General features: G+C 38.9%; 2 annotated features.

Annotated features, from left to right (window-relative positions):
* Positions 7,464–8,007: an enhancer, noted in NCBI's record as "OCT4-NANOG hESC enhancer chrY:58862425-58862968 (GRCh37/hg19 assembly coordinates)". NCBI's record gives its function as "activates a minimal SCP1, AML or CMV promoter by ChIP-STARR-seq in primed H9 embryonic stem cells {active_cell/tissue: H9 hESC(primed)}" and the evidence as "EXISTENCE:reporter gene assay evidence [ECO:0000049][PMID:30033119]".
* Positions 8,008–8,551: an enhancer, noted in NCBI's record as "OCT4-NANOG hESC enhancer chrY:58861881-58862424 (GRCh37/hg19 assembly coordinates)". NCBI's record gives its function as "activates a minimal SCP1, AML or CMV promoter by ChIP-STARR-seq in primed H9 embryonic stem cells {active_cell/tissue: H9 hESC(primed)}" and the evidence as "EXISTENCE:reporter gene assay evidence [ECO:0000049][PMID:30033119]".

A 10,812-nucleotide genomic window follows, 5' to 3' on the forward strand; every position in this document is an offset into this window, starting at 1 on the left:
ACACGAATGCTCAAATTAAATGGACTCGAATGGAATGGAAACGAAAGGAATGTCATCGAATGGAATTGAATCGATTGGAATGAAATCGCATAGAATGGAGTGGAATCAAATGGAATTGAATCGAAAGGAAAGGAAGCGAATGGACTGAAATGAAATGGAATGGAATTGAATGGAAAGTAATGCAATGGAATAGAATGGAACGAAATTTCACGGAATGGAATCAAACTGAATGGAATCAAATCAATGGAATCAAATCAAATGGAATGGAAAGGAATTGAATGGAGTAGATGGGATTGGATGGGATTGGAATGAAATGTACTGGAAAGGACTCGAATTTCATGAAACGGAATGGAATGAATTGGAACGGAATGGACTCGAATGGAATGGAATGTCATGGGATGGCATCAAATGGAATGACATCAAATGGAATGGAATCGAATGCAATGGAATGCTATGGAATGGAATGGAATGCATTGGAATGGAATGTCCTCTAATGGAATGGATTCGAGTGGAATGGAATTGAATATAATGGAGTCGAATGAAATGGAATTGAAAGGAATGGGATCGAATACAATGGAATACACTGGAATGTAACGTAATGAACTCGAATGTAATTGACTGGAATGGAATGTACATGAATGGAATGTAATCGAATGGAAAGTAATCCAATGGAATAGAATCTAATGCAATAAAATCGACTCAGATAGAGTAGAATGTAATGGAATGGAGTGCAGTGCAATGGAATGGAATGGAATGGAATGCAATGGAATGGAATGGAATGGAATGGAATGGAATGGAATGGAATGGAATGGAATGGGATGGAATGGTATGGAATGGATAGTAATGGACTGGAGTGAAATGGACTGGAAAGGAATGGACTCAAATTGAAAGGGCTCGAAAGGAATGGAGTCAAATGGAATGGTCTGGAATGGAATGAACACGAATGTAATGCAACCCAATAGAATGGAATCGAATGGCATGGAATATAAAGAAATGGAATCGAAGAGAATGGAAACAAATGGAATGGAATTGAATGGAATGGAATTGAATGGAATGGGAACGAATGGAGTGAAATTGTATGCAGTAGAAGAGAATAGAATGGAATGCAAGCGAAAGGAAAGGAATGGATTGGAATGGAATGGAATTCATTGGAATGGAAGGGAATGTAGTGTAATGGACAGGCCTGGAATAAAGTGGAATGCTACGGTCTCGAATGGAATAAAAATGTATGGAATGGAATGCAATGAAACGGAATCGAATGTCATAGAATGTAATGGAATGCAAAAAATGGAATCCAAAATCATTGACTGGAAAGGCTGGGTGTCGAAAAGAAATGACTCCAATGGAATGGAATCGAATGGAATGGAAGTGAATAGAATCGAACTAAATCGAATGGAATGGAATTGATAGGAACGGAATGGAAAGGAATGCAATGATTTGGCATGGAATGGAATCGAATGGCATCGAATGGAATGGAATGGAATGCAATGGAATGGAATGTATTAGAATGTAATGAACTTTAATGGAATGTACTCGAATGGATTCGACTGGAATGGAATGTTCTGGAAGTGAATGGACTCCAATGGAATGGATTCAAAAGGAATGGAATCGTACGGAATGGAATCTAATGGAATGGAATTAAATGGAAATGAATCAAATTGAATAGCACGGAATTGAATTGAATGGAATGGAATGCAATGGAATCTAATGAAACGGAAAGGAAAGGAATGGAATGGAATGGAATGGGCTGGAATGGAAAGGAATCGAAACGAATGGAATGGAATCGAAGTGAAGAGACTGGAATGGAATGCACTGGAATGGAAGGGAGTGTAATGGAAGGTTCTCGAAAAAAATGGAATCGAATGGAATGGAATTGAATGGAACGGAATAGAGTCGAATGGAATTGAATGGAATGGAATGGACTAGAGTGAAATGGAATCGAACCACAAGGAATGGACAGGAATAGAATGGTCTCGAATTGAATGGAATCGTATGTAATGGCATCAAACGGAATGGAATGGACAGCCACGGAATGGAATGCACTCGAATGCAATGGAGTCGAAACTAATGGACTGGAATAGAATGGACTCGACTGGTACGGACTCCAATGGAATGGAATCGAATGGAAGGGAATCGAACGGAATGGAATCGAACGGAATGGACTCGAAGGGAAAAGACTGCAATGGAAAGGTCTCGAATGGAATGGAAATTAATGGAATGGAATGGAATCGAATGAAATGGAGTCAAAAGGAATGGAATCGAATGGCAAGAAATCGAATGTAATGGAATCGCCAGGAATTGATGTGAACGGAACGGAATGGAATGGAATCCAAAGGAATGGAATAGAATGGAATGGAATCGAATGGAAAGGACTCGAATGGAAATCACTCGAATAGAATGCAATTTAATAAAATAGGATCAAATGTAATGGAATGGAATGGAAAGGAATCGAAACGAAAGGAATGGAGACAGATGGAATGGAATGGAACAGAGAGCAATGGTATAGAATGGAATGGAATCATCTGGAATGGAATTGAATGGAATGGAATAATATGAAATGGAATGGAATGGAATGGAATGGAATGCCCTTGAATTAAATGGACTGGAATGGAATGGACTCAAACAGAGTGGAATGGAAAGTGTGGAGATAGAATGGAATGAACTCCTTTGGAATGGTGTAGTATGCAATGCAATCGACTGGCAGGGAGTCAAAAGGTATGTAATCGAATGGATTGGACTGGAATGCAAAGGACTCGAATAGATTGGAAACGGAATGCAAAGGAATGGAATGGAATAGTATGGAATGCAATGGAAGGGAATGCAGTGGAATAGACTAGAGTGGAATGGAATGGACTGGAAAGCAATGGACTGGAATGGAACTTTCTTGGATGGACTGGAATCAAACGGAATGGAATGCAGTGCAATCAAATGGCATGGAATAAAATAGAATGAAAGAGAATCAAATGGAATTGAATCGAATGGAATCGAATGGATTGGAAAGGAATAGAATGGAATGGAATGGAATTGACTCAAATGGAATGGACTAGAATGGAATGGATTCGAATGGAAGGCAAAGGAATGGAATCTATTGGAATGGACTGTAATGGAATGGAATGGAAGGGATTGGAATGGACTCGAATGGAATGGACTGCAATAGAAAGGATTCGAATGGAATGAAAAAGAATTGAATGGAATAGAACAGAATGGAATCAAATCGAATGAAATGGAATGGAATAGAAAGGAATGGAATGAAATGGAATGGAAAGGATTCGAATGTAATGCAATCGAATGGAATGGAATCGAACGGAATGGAATAAAATGGAAGAAAACTGGCAAGAAATGGAATCGAAATGAATGGAGTGTTATGGAACGGACTCAAAAGGAATTGAATGTAATAGAATGGAGTGGAGTGGACTCGAATATAATGGACTGGAATGGAATGAAATCACATGGAATGGGAACGAATGGAATGGAATGGAAAGGAATGGAATCGAATGGAAAGGAATCGAATGGAAGGGAATGAAATTGAATCAACAGGAATGGAAGGGAATAGAATAGACTGTAATGGAATGGACTCGAATAGAATGGACACGAATGCTCAAATTAAATGGACTCGAATGGAATGGAAACGAAAGGAATGTCATCGAATGGAATTCAATCGATTGGAATGAAATCGCATAGAATGGAGTGGAATCAAATGGAATTGAATCGAAAGGAAAGGAAGCGAATGGACTGAAATGAAATGGAATGGAATTGAATGGAAAGTAATGCAATGGAATAGAATGGAACGAAATTTCACGGAATGGAATCAAACTGAATGGAATCAAATCAATGGAATCAAATCAAATGGAATGGAAAGGAATTGAATGGAGTAGATGGGATTGGATGGGATTGGAATGAAATGTACTGGAAAGGACTCGAATTTCATGAAACGGAATGGAATGAATTGGAACGGAATGGACTCGAATGGAATGGAATGTCATGGGATGGCATCAAATGGAATGGCATCAAATGGAATGGAATCGAATGCAATGGAATGCTATGGAATGGAATGGAATGCATTGGAATGGAATGTCCTCTAATGGAGTGGATTCGAGTGGAATGGAATTGAATATAATGGAGTCGAATGAAATGGAATTGAAAGGAATGGGATCGAATACAATGGAATATACTGGAATGTAACGTAATGAACTCGAATGTAATTGACTGGAATGGAATGTACATGAATGGAATGTAATCGAATGGAAAGTAATCCAATGGAATAGAATCTAATGCAATAAAATCGACTCAGATAGAGTAGAATGTAATGGAATGGAGTGCAGTGCAATGGAATGGAATGGAATGGAATGCAATGGAATGGAATGGAATGGAATGGAATGGAATGGAATGGAATGGAATGGAATGGAATGGGATGGAATGGTATGGAATGGATAGTAATGGACTGGAGTGAAATGGACTGGAAAGGAATGGACTCAAATTGAAAGGGCTCGAAAGGAATGGAGTCAAATGGAATGGTCTGGAATGGAATGAACACGAATGTAATGCAACCCAATAGAATGGAATCGAATGGCATGGAATATAAAGAAATGGAATCGAAGAGAATGGAAACAAATGGAATGGAATTGAATGGAATGGAATTGAATGGAATGGGAACGAATGGAGTGAAATTGTATGCAGTAGAAGAGAATAGAATGGAATGCAAGCGAAAGGAAAGGAATGGATTGGAATGGAATGGAATTCATTGGAATGGAAGGGAATGTAGTGTAATGGACAGGCCTGGAATAAAGTGGAATGCTACGGTCTCGAATGGAATAAAAATGTATGGAATGGAATGCAATGAAACGGAATCGAATGTCATAGAATGTAATGGAATGCAAAAAAATGGAATCCAAAATCATTGACTGGAAAGGCTGGGTGTCGAAAGGAATTGACTCCAATGGAATGGAATCGAATGGAATGGAAGTGAATAGAATCGAACTAAATCGAATGGAATGGAATTGATAGGAACGGAATGGAAAGGAATGCAATGATTTGGCATGGAATGGAATCGAATGGCATCGAATGGAATGGAATGGAATGCAATGGAATGGAATGTATTAGAATGTAATGAACTTTAATGGAATGTACTCGAATGGATTCGACTGGAATGGAATGTTCTGGAAGTGAATGGACTCCAATGGAATGGATTCAAAAGGAATGGAATCGTACGGAATGGAATCTAATGGAATGGAATTAAATGGAAATGAATCAAATTGAATAGCACGGAATTGAATTGAATGGAATGGAATGCAATGGAATCTAATGAAACGGAAAGGAAAGGAATGGAATGGAATGGAATGGGCTGGAATGGAAAGGAATCGAAACGAATGGAATGGAATCGAAGTGAAGAGACTGGAATGGAATGCACTGGAATGGAAGGGAGTGTAATGGAAGGTTCTCGAAAAAAATGGAATCGAATGGAATGGAATTGAATGGAACGGAATAGAGTCGAATGGAATTGAATGGAATGGAATGGACTAGAGTGAAATGGAATCGAACCACAAGGAATGGACAGGAATAGAATGGTCTCGAATTGAATGGAATCGTATGGAATGGCATCAAACGGAATGGAATGGACAGCCACGGAATGGAATGCACTCGAATGCAATGGAGTCGAAACAAATGGACTGGAATAGAATGGACTCGACTGGTACGGACTCCAATGGAATGGAATCGAATGGAAGGGAATCGAACGGAAGGGAATCGAACGGAATGGACTCGAAGGGAAAAGACTGCAATGGAAAGGTCTCGAATGGAATGGAAATTAATGGAATGGAATGGAATCGAATGAAATGGAGTCAAAAGGAATGGAATCGAATGGCAAGAAATCGAATGTAATGGAATCGCCAGGAATTGATGTGAACGGAACGGAATGGAATGGAATCCAAAGGAATGGAATAGAATGGAATGGAATCGAATGGAAAGGACTCGAATGGAAATCACTCGAATAGAATGCAATTTAATAAAATAGGATCAAATGTAATGGAATGGAATGGAAAGGAATCGAAACGAAAGGAATGGAGACAGATGGAATGGAATGGAACAGAGAGCAATGGTATAGAATGGAATGGAATCATCTGGAATGGAATTGAATGGAATGGAATAATATGAAATGGAATGGAATGGAATGGAATGGAATGCCCTTGAATTAAATGGACTGGAATGGAATGGACTCAAACAGAGTGGAATGGAAAGTGTGGAGATAGAATGGAATGAACTCCTTTGGAATGGTGTAGTATGCAATGCAATCGACTGGCAGGGAATCAAAAGGAATGTAATCGAATGGATTGGACTGGAATGCAAAGGACTCGAATAGATTGGAAACGGAATGCAAAGGAATGGAATGGAATAGTATGGAATGCAATGGAAGGGAATGGAGTGGAATAGACTAGAGTGGAATGGAATGGACTGGAAAGCAATGGACTGGAATGGAACTTTCTTGGATGGACTGGAATCAAACGGAATGGAATGCAATGCAATCAAATGGCATGGAATAAAATAGAATGAAAGAGAATCAAATGGAATTGAATCGAATGGAATCGAATGGATTGGAAAGGAATAGAATGGAATGGAATGGAATGGACTCAAATGGAATGTACTAGAATGGAATCGATTCGAATGGAAGGCAAAGGAATGGAATCTATTGGAATGGACTGTAATGGAATGGAATGGAAGGGATTGGAATGGACTCGAATGGAATGGACTGCAATAGAAAGGATTCGAATGGAATGAAAAAGAATTGAATGGAATAGAACAGAATGGAATCAAATCGAATGAAATGGAATGGAATAGAAAGGAATGGAATGAAATGGAATGGAAAGGATTCGAATGGAATGCAATCGAATGGAATGGAATCGAACGGAATGGAATAAAATGGAAGAAAACTGGCAAGAAATGGAATCGAAATGAATGGAGTGTTATGGAACGGACTCAAAAGGAATTGAATGTAATAGAATGGAGTGGAGTGGACTCGAATATAATGGACTGGAATGGAATGAAATCACATGGAATGGGAACGAATGGAATGGAATGGAAAGGAATGGAATCGAATGGAAAGGAATCGAATGGAAGGGAATGAAATTGAATCAACACGAATGGAAGGGAATAGAATAGACTGTAATGGAATGGACTCGAATAGAATGGACACGAATGCTCAAATTAAATGGACTCGAATGGAATGGAAACGAAAGGAATGTCACCGAATGGAATTGAATCGATTGGAATGAAATCGCATAGAATGGAGTGGAATCAAATGGAATTGAATCGAAAGGAAAGGAAGCGAATGGACTGAAATGAAATGGAATGGAATTGAATGGAAAGTAATGCAATGGAATAGAATGGAACGAAATTTCACGGAATGGAATGAAACTGAATGGAATCAAATCAATGGAATCAAATCAAATGGAATGGAAAGGAATTGAATGGAGTAGATGGGATTGGATGGGATTGGAATGAAATGTACTGGAAAGGACTCGAATTTCATGAAACGGAATGGAATGAATTGGAACGGAATGGACTCAAATGGAATGGAATGTCATGGGATGGCATCAAATGGAATGACATCAAATGGAATGGAATCGAATGCAATGGAATGCTATGGAATGGAATGGAATGCATTGGAATGGAATGTCCGCTAATGGAATGGATTCGAGTGGAATGGAATCGAATATAATGGAGTCGAATGAAATGGAATTGAAAGGAATGGGATCGAATACAATGGAATATACTGGAATGTAACGTAATGAACTGGAATGTAATTGACTGGAATGGAATGTACATGAATGGAATGTAATCGAATGGAAAGTAATCCAATGGAATAGAATCTAATGCAATAAAATCGACTCAGATAGAGTAGAATGTAATGGAATGGAGTGCAGTGCAATGGAATGGAATGGAATGGAATGCAATGGAATGGAATGGAATGGAATGGAATGGAATGGAATGGAATGGAATGGGATGGAATGGTATGGAATGGATAGTAATGCACTGGAGTGAAATGGACTGGAAAGGAATGGACTCAAATTGAAAGCGCTCGAAAGGAATGGAGTCAAATGGAATGGTCTGGAATGGAATGAACACGAATGTAATGCAACCCAATAGAATGGAATCGAATGGCATGGAATATAAAGAAATGGAATCGAAGAGAATGGAAACAAATGGAATGGAATTGAATGGAATGGAATTGAATGGAATGGGAACGAATGGAGTGAAATTGTATGCAGTAGAAGAGAATAGAATGGAATGCAAGCGAAAGGAAAGGAATGGATTGGAATGGAATGGAATTCATTGGAATGGAAGGGAATGTAGTGTAATGGACAGGCCTGGAATAAAGTGGAATGCTACGGTCTCGAATGGAATAAAAATGTATGGAATGGAATGCAATGAAACGGAATCGAATGTCATAGAATGTAATGGATGCAAAAAAATGAATCCAAAATCATTGACTGGAAAGGCTGGGTGTCGAAAGGAATTGACTCCAATGGAATGGAATCGAATGGAATGGAAGTGAATAGAATCGAACTAAATCGAATGGAATGGAATTGATAGGAACGGAATGGAAAGGAATGCAATGATTTGGCATGGAATGGAATCGAATGGCATCGAATGGAATGGAATGGAATGCAATGGAATGGAATGTATTAGAATGTAATGAACTTTAATGGAATGTACTCGAATGGATTCGACTGGAATGGAATGTTCTGGAAGTGAATGGACTCCAATGGAATGGATTCAAAAGGAATGGAATCGTACGGAATGGAATCTAATGGAATGGAATTAAATGGAAATGAATCAAATTGAATAGCACGGAATTGAATTGAATGGAATGGAATGCAATGGAATCTAATGAAACGGAAAGGAAAGGAATGGAATGGAATGGAATGGGCTGGAATGGAAAGGAATCGAAACGAATGGAATGGAATCGAAGTGAAGAGACTGGAATGGAATGCACTGGAATGGAAGGGAGTGTAATGGAAGGTTCTCGAAAAAAATGGAATCGAATGGAATGGAATTGAATGGAACGGAATAGAGTCGAATGGAATTGAATGGAATGGAATGGACTAGAGTGAAATGGAATCGAACCACAAGGAATGGACAGGAATAGAATGGTCTCGAATTGAATGGAATCGTATGGAATGGCATCAAACGGAATGGAATGGACAGCCACGGAATGGAATGCACTCGAATGCAATGGAGTCGAAACTAATGGACTGGAATAGAATGGACTCGACTGGTACGGACTCCAATGGAATGGAATCGAATGGAAGGGAATCGAACGGAATGGAATCGAACGGAATGGACTCGAAGGGAAAAGACTGCAATGGAAAGGTCTCGAATGGAATGGAAATTAATGGAATGGAATGGAATCGAATGAAATGGAGTCAAAAGGAATGGAATCGAATGGCAAGAAATCGAATGTAATGGAATCGCCAGGAATTGATGTGAACGGAACGGAATGGAATGGAATCCAAAGGAATGGAATAGAATGGAATGGAATCGAATGGAAAGGACTCGAATGGAAATCACTCGAATAGAATGCAATTTAATAAAATAGGATCAAATGTAATGGAATGGAATGGAAAGGAATCGAAACGAAAGGAATGGAGACAGATGGAATGGAATGGAACAGAGAGCAATGGTATAGAATGGAATGGAATCATCTGGAATGGAATTGAATGGAATGGAATAATATGAAATGGAATGGAATGGAATGGAATGGAATGCCCTTGAATTAAATGGACTGGAATGGAATGGACTCAAACAGAGTGGAATGGAAAGTGTGGAGATAGAATGGAATGAACTCCTTTGGAATGGTGTAGTATGCAATGCAATCGACTGGCAGGGAATCAAAAGGAATGTAATCGAATGGATTGGACTGGAATGCAATGGACTCGAAGAGATTGGAAACGGAATGCAAAGGAATGGAATGGAATAGTATGGAATGCAATGGAAGGGAATGGAGTGGAATAGACTAGAGTGGAATGGAATGGACTGGAAAGCAATGGACTGGAATGGAACTTTCTTGGATGGATTGGAATCAAACGGAATGGAATGCAATGCAATCAAATGGCATGGAATAAAATAGAATGAAAGAGAATCAAATGGAATTGAATCGAATGGAATCGAATGGATTGGAAAGGAATAGAATGGAATGGAATGGAATTGACTCAAATGGAATGGACTAGAATGGAATGGATTCGAATGGAAGGCAAAGGAATGGAATCTATTGGAATGGACTGTAATGGAATGGAATGGAAGGGATTGGAATGGACTCGAATGGAATGGACTGCAATAGAAAGGATTCGAATGGAATGAAAAAGAATTGAATGGAATAGAACAGAATGGAATCAAATCGAATGAAATGGAATGGAATAGAAAGGAATGGAATGAAATGGAATGGAAAGGATTCGAATGGAATGCAATCGAATGGAATGGAATCGAACGGAATGGAATAAAATGGAAGAAAACTGGCAAGAAATGGAATCGAAATGAATGGAGTGTTATGGAACGGACTCAAAAGGAATTGAATGTAATAGAATTGAGTGGAGTGGACTCGAATATAATGGACTGGAATGGAATGAAATCACATGGAATGGGAACGAATGGAATGGAATGGAAAGGAATGGAATCCAATGGAAAGGAATCGAATGGAAGGGAATGAAATTGAATCAACAGGAATGGAAGGGAATAGAATAGACGGTAATGGAATGGACTCGGATAGAATGGACACGAATGCTCAAATTAAATGGACTCGAATTGAATGGAAACGAAAGG

This window comes from Homo sapiens, chromosome Y (assembly GCF_000001405.40).
Source record: "Homo sapiens chromosome Y, GRCh38.p14 Primary Assembly".
Taxonomy (NCBI): Eukaryota; Metazoa; Chordata; class Mammalia; order Primates; family Hominidae; genus Homo; species Homo sapiens.